General features: G+C 40.6%; 2 annotated features.

Annotated features, from left to right (window-relative positions):
• Window positions 300–855: an enhancer, noted in NCBI's record as "OCT4-NANOG hESC enhancer chr3:137301315-137301870 (GRCh37/hg19 assembly coordinates)". NCBI's record gives its function as "activates a minimal SCP1, AML or CMV promoter by ChIP-STARR-seq in naive H9 embryonic stem cells {active_cell/tissue: H9 hESC(naive)}" and the evidence as "EXISTENCE:reporter gene assay evidence [ECO:0000049][PMID:30033119]".
• Window positions 13,239–13,797: an enhancer, noted in NCBI's record as "OCT4-NANOG-H3K27ac hESC enhancer chr3:137314254-137314812 (GRCh37/hg19 assembly coordinates)". NCBI's record gives its function as "activates a minimal SCP1, AML or CMV promoter by ChIP-STARR-seq in naive and primed H9 embryonic stem cells {active_cell/tissue: H9 hESC(naive and primed)}" and the evidence as "EXISTENCE:reporter gene assay evidence [ECO:0000049][PMID:30033119]".

Genomic DNA, 17,144 nt, shown 5'->3' on the forward strand with positions numbered 1-17,144 from the left:
GCTCAAGTACTCAACTAGCTTTTTTAAAAATGTGATGATCTGATAAAGTCAAGCTCCAGAGAGCCAATCAGCAAAGAACTAATTGCTTGAGTGAATTCATTATTATTTTCAATTCAATCAGTTGTGTAAAGTTTATGTACGAGTGTTAAAAGTCAGCTAGTTTGAGGTTTAAAAACTTTCTTCATGACTGTAGGAAGATAGAGAGAATGCAGCTTCAGTTATAACCACTGAACATAAACATTACTTTGGATAACTCTAAGTTATCTAACAAGCATTTACTAGACACTGCATCTCCGTGCAGGGCTCAAGCTTGTTTCCTGAGGTCCCAGAACTGACAATCTAGCTGGGAAGAGAAGGTGTGTGCCTAAGTAAACTGGCACATAAGATTAGGTTAACAAACAAAATGCATTATCCTTCTTCCATCTCAGCCTTAACTCTGAGCTGACTTGGGCCCCTGGCTGTAGGCTGAATGAAGTCTCTGACTTTAAGGGATTAAGTACAAAGCAGCACTGCCCTGCCTCTCTCCTAATCCGCTTTAGGACAATAGAGGTGACCAGAAGAGAGCAATTCATTTGTGCAGATGGCTTAATTTAAATAGCTCTTCATAACAATTGGGTTGGGCCAACAGCAGAACTTCTTAGGTTTTCTCTCATGCTGGGACTTAGGGCTACTCCTCACTGCTCACTGAGTTTCCAAGGCATGATATGTGCTCGCCATCTAGGCAAATTTACACAAAATTGATTAATACTTCACTTCCATGTTATTGAATTTGATATATGAGTTTTAAATCATATAGCTCATGGCATTTAGTCAACAAAACACTGAAATGCCTCTTTTTAAAAATGATTTGGATGATGTCCTAAAAATTTCTAAGTTATTGAGACTGTGTGAACGAATTTATTAAGTTTAGTGAACAAATTTCCTGTATTAGGGTAAGATGACTCTTTGTGTATGCAAAACTTTCTTACGAAAGGTTAAATAACTTTTCCATCATTCTTTCAATGTCTAAGATAAATGGTCTTAGGTTATCAGGTAGATGATATTTAATGCAGTAGTGTACCAAAATTAAAAGCAATCTATAAGAAAAAGAAGAAAGAGAAAGAGGAAAGGGATTTGAACACAATAAATGGCACATTCATGTTTATATGTGAATGTTTAGATTCCTAACTAGACTGTAAGTGATCACAGAAAGATTCATTTCTTCACCCGCTTCATACTGTTCATTCACAGTGTGATGGCATTACACAATCAACTACTGGAAAGGCACAGTCCAGAGCAGGAATACTGACCTTTGGAAAAATTGTGAAGAGACAATGGTGTCTCTTGTCTGCAGTTTTTTTCTCCTTCTAACCTTTCTAATAACCCTTCATCCTTGCAAACATTTTAATGTTTTCAAGGGTCCATGTTTCCTTCTCTCAGAGAGAAAAATCAAACATTCATAGAATACCTAACACATCCAAGTATTGTGCAAGGCACGGGTTTTCCATAAATAATAAAGAAGATTGATCTTGCTAGAAGAAGTACACTATATAAAATGCATCATATATAGACCATATACGTGTGTGTTTAAAAGCTATTGAAAGAGAGAAGTAATAGATTTTTGGACAAAAATGTAATTAAAGTTGAAATTGTTAATAAAATAATATCTAGAAATGTCTCAGATATTTGGTAAATAAATAACTTCTAAATAATCCATGGGTCAAAGAAGAAATTATTAGAAGAATTAGAAAGTATTTAGAAATGGGTGCTAAGGAAAACACAATATTATTTGAAAATGTTTATAATGCGTAAAAAGAAAATTATGCTTTTAAATGGTTATATTAGGATAAAAATAAAAGTTTCAAATCAATAATTTCAACTTCTGTCTTAAGAAGATCAGAATGAACTGAAAGTAAGTAGAAGGTACTAAATAATAAAGATGAGAGCAGAAATCGATAAAACAGAAAATGGTAAATATTCTGACACTAACTGATAAACTGCAATACAGTTCTGATGGCAACCACCTGGAGTTAAAGTCAGACTTCACAGGGTTGAGAGCATGGTCCACAACAAGACTCCTCTTACTTTAGATGCCAGCCACACTTCAAGGGTTCCGAGGCTGCTCACATGTCTTGCCACCTGGTTGCAAATCCAGGAGTTTCCCATGTCCTCCCTCAGGTTTGATAATTCACTGAAATGTCTCACAACTCTGGAAAGAATTATGCTAATGATTACAGTTTTATCATTTTATCATAAAGGTTATAAATTAGGACCAGCCAAATGAAGAAACACACAGAACAAGTCTGTAATGGTCCTGAATGCAGATCTTCCATGCCCTCTCCCTGTGGAATCAGGGCACACTACCCTCCCTGGCACATCAAGTAAAGTGATAAATATTCTACATCTTGGTAAAAAGACAGTTATGTGGGTCAAAATGCATTGAATTGTGCACTTAAGATTTGTGTATTTAACTCTGTAAAGTCTATCCCAACCACACCTACTCCTCCACACCCTCTCCCCACCAAAACACTGGAAACAGATACTGAACTCTATTTAGGAGATCTTCTCTTCTTACAAGTAGGCAGTACCGATTCTGAAACTACCTTATCTCTATTCTAGGCTTAAGCAAATGTATTAGTTGGTTTTCACACTGCTGATAAAGACATACCTGAGACTGGGAAGAAAAAGAGGTTTAATTGGATTTACAGTTCCACATGGCTGGAGAGCCCTCAGAATCATGGCAGGAGGCAAAAGCACTTCTTACATGGTGGTGGCAAGAGAAAATGAAGAAGATACAAAAGTGGAAACCACTGATAAAACCATTAGATCTCATAAGACTTATTTACTACTGCAAGAACAGTATGGAGGAAATCACCCTCATTATTCAAATTATCTCCCACCAGGTCCCTCCCGCAACACATGGGAATTATGGGAGTACAATTCAAGACGAGATTAGAGTGGGGACACAGAGCCAAACCATATCATTCCACCCCAGCCCCTCCAAATCTCATGCCTCACATTTCAAAACCAATCATGCCTTCGCAACAGTCCCCCAAAGTCTTAACTTGTTTCAGCATTAACTCAAAAGTCCACAATCCAAAGTCTCATCTGAGACAAGGCAAGTCCCTTCTGCCTATAAGCCTGTAAAATCAAAAGCAAGTTAGTTACTTCCTAGATACAATGAGGGTACAGTTATTGGGGAAATACACTCATTCTAAATGGGAGAAATTGGCCAAAACAAACAGGGCCCATGCAAGTCTGAAATCCAATGGGGCGGTCAAATTTTAAAGCTCCACAATTATCTCCTTTGACTCCAGGTCTCACATCCAGGCCACACTGATGCAAGAGGTGTGTTCTCATGGTCTCAAGCAGCTCTCCCCCTGTGACTTGGCAGGGTACAGCCTCCCTCCCAGCTGCTTTCATGGGCTGGCATTGAGTGTCTGAGGCTTTTCCAGGTGAATGGTGCAAGCTGTCAGGGGATCTACCATCCTGGGGTCTGGAGGATGGTGGCTCTCTTCTCACAGTTCCACTAGGCAGTGCCCCAGTAGGGACTCTGTGTGGGGGCTCCAACCCACATTTCTCTTCGGCACTGCCCTAGCAGAGGTTCTTCATGAGTGTCCCACCCCTGCAGCAAACTTCTGCCTGGGCATCCAGGCATTTCCATACATCTTCTGAAATCTAGGTGGAGTTTCCCAAACCTCGATTCTTGACTTCTGTGCACTCACAGACTCAACACCACATGGAAGTTGCCAAGGCTTGGGGCTTGTGCCCTCTGAAGCCACAGCCCGAGTTCTACGTTGGCCCCTTTCAGCCATGACTGGAGCAGTTGGGATGCAAGGCATCAAGTCTTTGAGTGCATACAGCACAGAAACCCTGGGCCTGGCCCACAAAACCATTTTCTCCTAGGCCTCTGGGCCTGTGATGGGAGGGGCTGCTGTGAAGACCTCTGACATGTACTGGAGACATTTTCCCCATTGTCTTGGAGATTAACATTCAGCTCCTGGTTACTTATGCAAATTTCCGCAGCTGGCTTTAATTTCTCCCCAGAAAATGGGTTTTTCTTTTCTATCACATTGTCAAGCTGCAAATCTTCCAAACGTTTATGCTCTGCTTCCCTTATAAAACTGAATGCCTTTAATGGCACCCAAGTCACATCTTGAATGCTTTGCTGCTTAGAAATTTCTTCTGCCAGATACCCTAAATCACTTCTCTCAAGTTCAAGGTTCCACAAATCTCTAGGGCAGGAGGAAAATGGTGCCAATCTCTTTGCTAAAACATAACAAGAGTCACCATTGCTCCAGTTCCCAACAAGTTTCTCATCTCCATCTAAGACCACCTCAGCCTGGACCTTATTGTCCATATTGCTATCAGGTTTTTGGTGAAAGCCATTCAACAAGTCTCTAGGAAGTTCCAAATTTTCCCACATTTTCCTGTCTTCTTCTGAGCCCTCCAAACTGTTCCAACCTCTGCCTGTTACCCAGTTCCAAAGTCCCTTCCACATTTTCAGGTATCTTTTCAGCAGCACCCTGCTCTACTGGTACCAATTTATTGTATTAGTCTGTTTTCACACTGCTGATAAAGACAACTCGAGACTGGGAAGAAAAAGAGGTTTAATTGGACTTACTACATGGCTAGGGAGGCCTCAGAATCATGGCAGGAGGTGAAAGGCACTTCTCACATGGTGGTGGCAAAAGACAATGAAGAAGATGCAAAAGTGGAAACCCCTGATAAACCCATCAGATCTCATGAGACTTATTCACTACCACAAGAACAGTATGGGGGAAACTGCCCCCATGATTCAAATTATCTCCCACAGGGTCCCACCCACAACACATGGGAATTGTGGGAGTACAACTCAAGATGAGATTTGGGTGGGGACACAGAGCGAAACCATGTCAGCAAGTTAGTAAATATATTGAGGATAATGGGATATAGAGAGAAGGAAGACTAGAATGCATCCTGTCATGTTAGATTGGAATTAAGGTATTAATGTGAAGTTTTTAAAAATTATAGATTTTATACACAAAAAAATACATACATGTATACACATATATTTCCTAGCCCTCACCTCTGAGAGGGTCTGGAAGCTTTAATGCTCCAGAAGGAATAAACACACTTAGCACATAGTTACTGGTTTTTAAATGCCATTCTCTGCTATAAAGAACTGAATACTCTTGGAGAAATAGTTAATTCCAACAGTAGGGCATGAAAAATACCAGATGAACCTGAAACATTTTATTGAATTATGCTAAAAAATTCAGTGGGATATGTCAAGGGATGTAAGAGTCATTTTGAAGGCATTCCCACTGGCCAAATCTGGAAAAATTTGAGTATTAAAATAAATATTGGTAGGAATGGATTATAACTTACTGAATAGAATAAGAATCTATGAATTATCCTTATATAAATAAGTGCACACATACAAAAATCAATATAAGAGGAGAAGAGAAAACTCTCACAGCAGAATTCAAACTAATGATTAAGTAATAAATGCTGAGTTAGGAAATCCTAAATGGAGGATAAAAGTAGTGGGTAAAAGTTTGGTAAGCGTAGGACACTTACATAAATTTTCAAGTATCTTCCAACAATCTACATATCATTTACAAAGGGAAAATGGTAATTTTAAGTGGGAGACTCAACCTGAATTCTATGATCATGGCTAACATCACCAATATTGGGTCAACTGACATCATATGTCTCCTAATATGTTGCACTGAGACAGACACAGCATCACTTCTGTGATATTCTTGCCAAAAATGCATAACCTAAATTTAACCATGAGGAAACACCACATTCAAAGATACTCTACAAAAATGACTGTACTCTTCAAAAGAGTCCTCCTGATTCTTCATGTCAAGGTCAAGAAAACAAAGGAAGTCCCAGGAACTGTTCCATATTAAAGGAATCTAAAGAGACGTGACAATTAAACCAGAAAAAAAGTCTCTGATAGGATGTTTTCAGATAAAATAACATTTTGAGACAACTGATTAAATTTGAATATAGACTATGGATTATATAGTAATGTTGTATTCGTGTTAGATTTCCTGATTTTAATAACAGTATTATGGGTATGTAAAATAATTTTCTTGTCCCTAGTAAATACACACTAAAGTATTTAAGTTTAAAGAGGAGAAACCTTTATGACTAAAAGGGAGGAACACCATATCAATAGCGAAGACCCATTATTGTTACTGTTATTGACAAAATACCCAAGGTGATCTCAGGACAAAGTAAAACCATGCTTTGCCTTTAGAGGACCCTAACTTTTCAAAGGCTTTAGGTTGAGATGTGTGTAGCACAAAATTTACCATGAACTGGTACAAATTCTTGAGGATAGTAACAGTAATGTTATAGATAAGCCTGAATTTATGTTCTATCTTTTCTAAACATTGGTTCTGACCTAATTTAAAATTGTCTAAACTATGAGAAGTAATCTTGAAATCAGCCAACAATGAGTGGCAAGTGGGGCCACAGAGGAAGATAAAGCTTTGTAATACTGAGTCATCCCCATATCTGGCCCCATTTGCAATCAGGAGACAGAGAAAAGAGGTGAATTACAATCTGTTCCCTTAATAGTCTCTGTGCAATTCTCCACAGGACCACCCACCTCTGCCACTCCATTGTCCTGCTCAACACACATGTTCCTCCCTCCCCCACATCCTTTCCATTCGGAAATGGACTGCAGTCATTTTTCATATGTTTTTGTTTTTAATCTGAGCATCTATTGAATATTATTATATGCTTTTTAAAATCCATACACCCTGGCAAGAGTTAACAGGATTCCAGATAGTATCAAATATATTTAAACATGATGCTTGAGTGGTCTTTGCAGCTGGTAGGTTATACATAAAATATGTTCAGCCAGCGATAGCGTTCTTATCTAAAGACAGAAGCTAGCAAAATTTCATCCTGTGCGCTCTGTCAGATTGTTCCCTTGGACAGATGGCAGAAGACTCCCTATGACAAGTGTGAGATGCTATCTGGGTGTCATGGCAGTGGTTTTCTCATTGCCCTGGACAGAGCTCCCTGGCCGCTCTCTTCATTTGAAGCGTGCAAATGAGTAGAAGCGGCTGGCAGAATGTGTGTGATCAATAAACTCATGTAATTAGAATCTTTCTGAAAGAAGTCCCCCTGTGAGAGAACCTCTTTAGGGCTTGGTTCCTCTGGCTAGTTGGGGTTTTACATTGTCTTGCCCTCTTGTATATTTTTCCAAGTGAAAGGAATAAGCAGACAACACAAATGACCAATTTTTAATGTGTTGCACGCTTATCCAGAATTAGGCCTTTAATCCTCTGACTCATGGAATCAGTTGGGAGCTCACTAGGAAATTTAAACCCAGCACCCTCCTCAGTATCCTGTTTTTTGTTGTTGTTGTTGTTTTTGTTTTTTTGTTTTGTTTTAAGACGGAGTCTTGCTCTGTCGCCAGGCTGGAATGCAGTGGGGCTATCTAGACTCACTGCCACCTCCACCTCCTGGGTTCAAGCGATTCTCTTGCCTCAGCCTCCCAAGTAGCTGGGACTACAGGGGCATGCCACCACTCCCAGCTAATTTTTGTATTTTTAGTAGAGACAGGGTTTCACCATGTTGACCAGGATGGTCTCGATCTCTTGACCTCGTGATCCACCTGCCTCGGCCTCCCAAAGTGCTGGGATTACAGGTGTGAGCCACTGCACCCAGCCTCCTGTCTGTTTTTATCTGATCTCATCTCCCTGCTGCTAAAAAGCACTGCCACTCAATGCCCATAAGTCCATGTAACCACAAGCAAAAGTCCCTCTGTTGAGTCCCTACACTGTGCCATTTTTATACTCATGTGCACAGGTTCCCTCTTTAGACCACAGGTCGAGCTCACACATCTCCTTGGAAGCCATCACTGGGTAAGCCTCCCTACTCACTCTAGCCATTTGTCCCTGGCTGAATAGTAAATATTCCCTCCATGCACTTTGGCAGGTATTATATTTATATACCTCTATAATTGCACATATATACAGAGAAAGAGATCACTTATATATTTACTGGTAAAAACATGTAACATAAAATTTACTGTCTTAACCATTTTTAACTGTATAGTTCAGTAATGGTTAAGTATATTCATGTTGTTGTGTAACCAATATCCAGAACTCTTTTCATCTTCCAAAACTAAAACTTTGTATCCATTAAACAACAGCTCCTCATCCCCTATTTCTCTATCTCCCTGGCCATCGGTATTCTATTTTCTGTTTCTATGAATTTGAACACTCTAGATATTTCACATAATTGGAATCATACAATATTTGCTTTTTTTGAGACTGGCTTATTTCACTTGCCATAATGTCCTCAAGGTTCATCCATGTTGTAGCATGTGTCAGAATTTCCTTCTTTTTTAAGGCCAAATAAAATTCCATTTTATGTATATACCACATTTTATTTAACCACTGATAGATAAATGGATAATTAACTCTTTATTAGATACACATCAACTCCTTATCAGATGTATGATTTTCAGGTATTCTCTCCCATTTCATGGGTTGCATTTTCACTCTGTTTGTGCTCATACATTTTAAAAGTTCTTTTAATGTGCAAGTTTTTTGAGAGGGGAATCCAGAAGCCGTTCATTCTTTAGTTGATATTCATGCCAAATATTTAGAAACTCAGTAACATGTCTCAAAATTCACATCATTTGATAATGTTGTAACCACTTCAGAAAAGTATACAAAATCACGATTACCCAATCACCCTGATGTGATTATTATGCATTGCATTCCTATATAAAAATGTAGCATGTACCCCATAAATATAAATACCTATTATATACCCACAAAAGTTAGAAATTAAAATTTTTTTAAGTGTAAAAAATCATGAAGAGTTTATAAACCTATTCTTCTTGTATCTTCCCCTTCTAGCCAGTGTGACCACCTTCCTGTTATGTTCAAACCTTAGCACTTATTGTCATCACTTAGGCACATGTTTCTCCAAATATATCTGTGGCCTTGAAGGCATTAAATAGCTCCCTTGATATTGCCCTGACTTCTTGCTAAGCCTGAGAAAAGGAAGGTGGCTTTAAAAAATTATATTTACTCCAAGAAAAAGAAAGCAATCGGATTACTCAAGAAACTATTCCAGTCAACAAAGTATTTGGCTAATTGCAATGTTGATAGACTACATCAAAACGAAATAATATAGAACTCACCCTCTAGAGTGATGAAGTAGGACTCCATCCCTTCATAAAAGCAAGGAGAATACTGACAAAACTGTCAAAATTAGCTTTTTCAGAAAGGCTCGTAACAATCAAAGGAGAGTTAATTCAAGAACAACAACTTCATTTCTCTAAGAACAGCAACCTTATGTCCTTTTGACTTGTCCTACTCCCGTGCCCTTCTCCCCAGCTCTGCGGTAGCTTTGAAAGCTAGCAACCTCACAAACACAGTAGTTGTGAAAACCAGAAGCCCATTAGCCACTGGAGAATGGGAAACAAGGCACAAATTGGTTTCAAGCTCCCCAGAATTCCCATCCCCAGATACTTGTCACTATTTAAGCTGTCTGGGAACTTGTTTGAAACTTCCATTCTCAGGGCTTGTCTTTTACATGAGTCAGGGTTCATTTTGTGTGACCAGCCCTACCCTCAGACACTTGTCAAAAGCAAACAGCTGCAAGTGTTTGATATCACAACTGCCCACATTGCAAATGACCCAATTTCTTAAAATTTAAATTTTAAAAAATGGGCAAAGTACTTGAATAGAATTTCTTCAAAGAGGTCATTTGTCAATAAACCATGGGGAGAAGAATGCTTAACATCATTAGCCATTAGAGAAATGGAGATCAAAATCACAATAAGGTACCACGTCATACCCACTAGGATGGCTATAAAAAAAATAGGGCTACTAACAAGTGTTGGCAAAGATATGAAGAAATTTGATCCCTTGTACATTGCTGATGCGAATGCCAAATGGTGTATCCGCTTTGGAAAACAGTTTGGAGGTTCCTTAAAAAGTTAAACAAAGTTATCATATGACCCAGCAATTCCACTCCTTGGTATATCTCCAAGAGAATAATAACATATGTCCACACAAAAACTTGTTCATGAATGGTCATAGCAGCATTGCTCATAATATAAAAAAATAGAAACAAAATGCCCATCAACTGATGATGAACTGATAAACAAAATATGGTATATCCATATAATGGAATAAGGTTTTGATACATGCTACAAGATGGATGAACCTTGAAAACGATAAGAAGTGTGAAAGAAGCCAGACACAAAAGGCCACAATTATATGCTTCCATTTATTTGAAATGTCCAGAATAGGCAAACCCATAGAGACAGAAAGTAGATTGGTTGTGGTCAAGGAATGAGGGAGGAGAAAATGGGGAGTGAACACTAATAGGTACAGGAATTTTTTTAAAGGGTGATAAAAATGTGCTACAATCAGTTGTGATCAATGCATAACTTTGTGAATATTCTACAAAACACTGAATTGTACACATTTTAAATATTAATTTTATAGTATGGGAATTACATCTCAATAGTTATCTTTTTAAAAAGGAAATGATGCAGAAGGGGCCATAAGCCCAGGATTTGTGATATATGAGGTATCAACACTGATGACTTCAAAATGATCTCTCCAAGTCTATTATCTGCTCTTTGTTATTAGACATTGTTTTGAAGTTATTCTGTGATTGTGCTTTGAGAAGTGTTTTTCAACCTTGTCTCCTGCCAAGTTTACCTGAACTACTTAACCAACATTTGGGTTAAACATGGCCTTTGTTCTTCTAACATCCCATTAAGTAGAGTTTATACAATGGCCTTAGAACTAGTCCTTGTATAGTAGAGTGGATTAGAAATCTTGGGCTAATTTAGCATCTGTCAAGAATAAAGCTACCTCCAAGAGCTGTTCAAGGGCCATGATAAAGGGAGATTCCAGTTCCAGAGAGTGTATTTACTTGGTACCACCACTTCAGCTATACTCTTATGTGGTTTGACCAAAGTTTAGAATATCTCATATCTTAGTAGCACAGTTCTTTATAGCCCTCAATCTCTAGACCTCTTTGGTTCCTAGATAGTGTGCACAATTTTCTTCTAAGCTTATTGCCAGCCAGCGTTCTCCCTGAGAAGTAGGTGGTGCTTTGGGATGCCTGCTCTATTATTGACCATTTGCAGACTTAAAAGCATCTTTGTGACATTTTCATGAGTCAGATGCCTAGCTTTGTTGATCCTTCCTTGGGCTCTGTGGAAAGAATTAGTTTACTGGCCAATACACCTATATTGACTCTAAATTATACACACTTACACTGAATCTGCATATAATATTCCCATGAGACAGCAAGATAGTTGTCTGATGGAGCAGGGAATTTCCACTGGAATAAAGCAGGTTTATACTCTACTCCCCACCACCACCTTATTTCTAACTTTTACCTTAATGACTTGAGACTATAGTCCACTATCCATCCTCCATCAGACACTCTACTATAGGCAGCAGAAAAATCGGCAAACGCCTATGTGCAGATAATGTTATTTTATTTCCATGAATGGAAAAGTCCATGTAGAATGGACTTTTGCTCTTCTGGTCCATCTTGCTCTTACTTTCTAACTACTACTAGGGCGTTCAATTGATAGCAAGATCAGTTACCCCAAAATGAAAGTCATTGATTTTAGTAAATATTTTTCATCTTTTAACTAGCCTTAGCTAAAATGCATTAGCAAAAAGTCTATATCCATAATTGGTTCCAGGGCTAGTGGCTTAATCTAACATTTTTGTAAGTGATTTTGTAAACTGATAGAGCAAGCATTTTACTATCAGGTTATCTTGGATAGTTGACCTGGAAATACATTGTTTAAAGTTAGGGGCACTTTACTGAGGTCTGCATTCACCTACATGTATTTAGGAGTGTTCACAAGCCAAAATGGTGTGGCTGTGAGCACCTCCCTACCCAAACATTGGCTCTGATCCTAAACTGCTTTTTGTGTAAAGGCTTGATTTTCACTTGTGGGCATTTCATGTGGAGGACAATTGGTTTTATTTTTAGTTGAGGTCCCAGCAATGTTTCTCCACAGTCATGACACTCAACCCTTGTACAGTTGGTTGTTGAAGCACTGAGCCCTGCATTCACCTGGCCACATGGAATATATTCAGGCCAATCACTCGCCAGGGAGGATGCTCTTGAATCCATTACCGCTTAATACTTATTAGTAGTTCACTTGAGTCATCCATAGTACTGTTCTTACCAAATTCTATGCTGCCATTTGTATAGTAATCCTACATGGGGGAGCACACTAAGAACTTAATTGGTGAAACATGTTGCATTTACTGTAAGAATGTTATTGAGGATGTATCAGGACCCAGGAGAGAAATTTTGAACCTCTGAAGAAGACGCTTTTGTGCCTTTCCTAAGCAACTGCTTTTAACTCTACCTCAAAGACACTCTAAACCATGTAATTGATCCTATTCCCTTCTTCATTCTGGCCATGAGGAAACTCTGAGGCAGGTTTATAGCACACTCTAACAGTACTCGGCACTTACGGTGCATGAACTTATTCTGGCTACATCATATTTTTCTACCCTTCTATTACCTTGTCCCTATTTTCTCGCTGAATTTTTTTTTTATCTTTGTGGGTATTTTTGTAAGCTGCTTCAAACACATCTTGCAAAGAGGATGGATAAATAAATACATTTTTGTAATACTGCTGTGTGAAGTATAGTTCTACAAAGCAGTAGGATAAAAATCTTATCAGAAAAAGGGACTTCTGTAGAATCTCTGTGGGTAGACATTCTATTCTCACATAATTAAAAAGCCATAATAGGAATATGTTACAGCCCACCTGACCAGGACACTGAGATAGAAATGTTAATTGAGATTGTGGAAACTGCAAAATTAGGCCAGGTAGTAATAATGAGAGACTTTAATTACTCAATCATAGATTGGCAAAATGCCTCACGGGGACAAGGGTTGGAAGTGAGATTTTTAGATAAGAGAAATTACAGCTTCTCAGAGAAAGTAGAGAAGGAGCTGTATGGTCAGGGAATATTCTAGATAGGGTTCTGACACTGGATGGAAACTGGTCCACGGGGTGATGCAAAAAGCATCAACACTGACTACATGCAGTTTACTTCCATAGCCTTGTGGGCAAGTTAAAATTCACTACATGTCTACCTTATATTATAAAGTGTCTGGTGATAAAAATGAAAGTTAGAATTTTAAAATTCAGTAACAAGAAACAAACCAAGAGAATACTTTCAAAGCAACTTATCAGCAATCCAGGGAAAATTCCAAGGGGTTATGATAATCTTCAGTGGCTAGTTGACTGAGTCAGAGATGTAATTGCTGGGGCAGGGGAAGGAAGATGTCTTCAAAAGAAGAAAAAAAAAATGGAAGAAGACATGTAAACCCACAAAATATACAGGTGAGGAATAACTTAAAATTATACAAAGAACAAAAAATATGATGCATCATGTAGAGGATTCCAAAGGTCCTAGTGTCAGGCCTCTGAGCCCAAACTAAGCCATCGCATCCCCGGGGACTTGCACGTATGTGCCCAGATGGCCTGAAGTAACTGAAGAATCACAAAAGAAGTGAAAATGCCCTGCCCCACCTTAATTGATGACATTCCACCACAAAAGAAGTGAAAATGGCCGGTCCTTGCCTTAACTGATGACAGTGTCTTGTGAAATTCCTTCTCCTGGCTCATCCTGGCTCAAAAGCTCCCCTACTGAGCATCTTGTGACCCCCACTCCTGCCTGCCAGAGAACAACCCCCTTTGACTGTAATTTTCCTTTACCTACCCAAATCTTATAAAACGGCCCCACCCCATCTCCCTTTGCTGACTCTCTTTTTGGACTCAGCCCACCTGCACCCAGGTGAAATAAACAGCTTTATTGCTCACACAAAGCCTGTTTGGTGGTCTCTTCACACGGACGTGAGTGAAATTTGGTGCCGTGACTCAGATCAGGGGACCTCCCTTGGGAGATCAATCCCCTGTCCTCCTGCTCTTTGCTCTGTGAGAAAGATCCACCTACAACCTCAGGTCCTCAGACCAACCAGCCCAAGAAACATCTCACTAATTTCAAATCCGGTAAGCAGCCTCATTTTACTCTCTTCTCCAACCTCCTTCACTATCCCTCAACCTCTTTCTTATTTCAATCTTGGCGCCACACTTCAATCTCTCCCTTCTCTTTATTTCAATTCCTTTCATTTTCTGGTAGAGACAAAGGAGACATGTTTTATCTGTGGACCCAAAACTCCGGCGCTGGTCACGGACTAGGGAAGGCAGCCTTCCCTTGGTGTTTAATCATTGCAGGGATGCCTCTCTTGATTATTCACCCAGGTTTCAGAGGTGTCAGACCACGCAGGGACACCTGCCTTGGTCCTTCACCTTTAGCGGCAAGTCCCTCTTTTCTGGGGGAGAGGCAGGAACCCCGACCTCTTATCTCTGTGCCCCGATCCCTTATTTCCATGCCCCGACCTCTTATCTCTGCACCCCAACCCCTTATTTCCATGCCCCGACCCCTTGTCTGCTTTTCTGGAGGGCAAGAACCCTCCACCCCTTCTCTGTGTCTCTACTCTCTTTTCTCTGGGCTTGCCTCCTTCACTATGGGCAAGCTTCCACCTTCCATTCCTCCTTCTTCTCCCTTAGCCTGTGTTCTTAAAAACTTAAAACCTCTTCAACTCTCACCTGACCTAAAATCGAAGCACCTTATTTTCTTCTGCAATGCCACTTGACCCCCAGTACAAACTGGACAGTAGTTCCAAATAGACGGAAAACGGCACTTTCAATTTTTCCATCCTACAAGATCTAAATAATTCTTGTCGTAAAATAGGCAAACGGTCTGAGATGCCTTACGTCCAGGCATTCTTTTACACATCAGTCCCTCCCTAGTCTCTGTTCCCAGTGCAACTCGTCCCAAATCTTCCTTCTTTCCCTCCCACCTGTCCCCTCAGTCCCAACCCCAAGTGTCGCTGAGTCTTTCTAATCTTCCTTTTCTACAGATCCATCTGACCTCTCCCCTCCTCGCCAGGTTGAGCTAGGTCCCAATTCTTCCTCAGCCTCCACTCCTCCACCCTATAATCCTTTTATCACCTCCCCTCTTCACACCTGGTCCGGCTTACAGTTTCGTTCCATGACTAGCCTTCCCCCACCTGCCCAGCAATTTACTCTTAAAAAGGTGGCTGGAGCTAAAGGCATAGTCAAGGTTAATGCTCCTTTTTCTTTATCCCAAATCAGATAGCATTTAGGCTCTTTTACATCAAATATAAAAATCCAGCCCAGTTCATGGCTCCTTTCGCAGCAACCCTGAGACGCTTTACAGCCCTAGACCCTAAAAGGTCAAAAGGCCGTCTTATTCTCAATATACATTTTATTACCCAATCTGCTCCCAACATTAAATAAAACTCCAAAAATTAAATTCCGGCCCTCAAACCCCACAACGGGACTTAATTAACCTCGCCTTCAAGGTGTACAATAATAGAGTAGAGGCAGCCAAGTAGCAACATATTTCTGAGTTGCAATTCCTTGCCTCCACTGTAAGACAAACCCCAGCCACATCTCCAGCACACAAGAACTTCCAAACGCCTAAACCACAGTGGCCAGGCATTCCTACAGAACCGCCTCCCCCAGGAGCTTGCTAAAGGTGCCAGAAATCTGGCCACCAGGCTAAGGAATGCCCACAGCCCGGGATTCCTCCTAAGCCGTGTCCCATCTATGCGGGACCCCACTGGAAATAGGACTGTTCAACTCACCTGGCAGCCACTCCCGGAGCCCCTGGAACTCTGGCCCAAGGCTCTCTGACTGACTCCTTTCCAGATCTTCTCGGCTTAGTGGCTGAAGACTGATGCTGCCCGATCACCTCGGAAGCCCCGTAGACCATCACGGACGCCAAGCTTTAGGTAACTCTCACAGTGGAGGGTAAGTCCATCCCCTTCTTAATCAATACGGAGGCTACCCACTCCACATTACCTTCTTTTCAAGGGCCTGTTTCCCTTGCCTCCATAACTGTTGTGGGTATTGACAGCTAGGCTTCCAAACCTCTTAAAACTCTCCAACTCTGGTATCAACTTAGACAATACTCTTTTAAGCACTCCTTTTTAGTTATCCCCACCTGCCCATTCCCTTATTAGGCTGAGATATTTTAACCAAATTATCTGCTTCCCTGACTATTCCTAGACTACAGCTGCATCTCATTGCCGCCCTTCTTCCCAACCCAAAGCCTCCTTTGCGTCTTCCTCTCATATCCCCCCACCTTAACCCACAAGTATGGAACATCTCTACTCCTTCCCTGGCAACCGATCACATGCCCGTTACCATCCCATTAAAACCTAATCACCCTTACCCCGCTCAACGCCAATATCCCATCCCACAGCATGCTTTAAAAGGATTAAAGCCTGTTATCACTCACCTGTTACAGCATGGCCTTTTAAAGCCTATAAACTCTCCTTACAATTCCCCCATTTTACCTGTCCTCAAACCAGGCAAGACTTACAGGTTAGTTCAGGATCTGCGCCTTATCAACCAAATTGTTTTGCCTATCCGTCCCATGGTGCCAAACCCATATACTCTCCTATCCTCAATACCTCCCTCCACAATCCATTATTCTGTTCTGGATCTCAAACACGCTATCTTTACTATTCCTTTGCACCCTTCATCCCAGCTTCTCTTCACTTTCGCTTGGACTGATCCTGACACCCATCAGGCTCAGCAAATTACCTGTGCTGTACTGCCGCAAAGCTTCACAGACAGCCCCCATTACTTCAGTCAAGCCCAAATTTCTTCCTTATCTGTTACCTATCTCAGCATAATTCTCATAGAAACACACACGCTCTCCCAGCTGATCGTGTCCGACTGATCTCTCAAACCCCAACCCCTTCTACAAAACAACAACTCCTTTCCTTCCTGGGCATGGTTGGATACTTTCGCCTTTGGATACCTGGTTTTGCCATCCTAACAAAACCATTATATAAACTCACAAAAGAAAACCTAGCTGACCCCATAGATCCTAAATCCTTTCCCCACTCCTCTTTCTTGTCCTTGAAGACATCTTTAGAGACTGCCCCACCCTAGCTCTCCCTGACTCATCCCAACCCTTTTCATTACACACAGCTGAAGTGCAGGGCTGTGTAGTTGGAATTCTTACACAAGGACCGGGATCGCGTCCTGTAGCCTTTTTGTCCAAACAACTTGACATTACTGTTTTAGGTTG

This window comes from Homo sapiens, chromosome 3 (assembly GCF_000001405.40).
Source record: "Homo sapiens chromosome 3, GRCh38.p14 Primary Assembly".
Taxonomy (NCBI): Eukaryota; Metazoa; Chordata; class Mammalia; order Primates; family Hominidae; genus Homo; species Homo sapiens.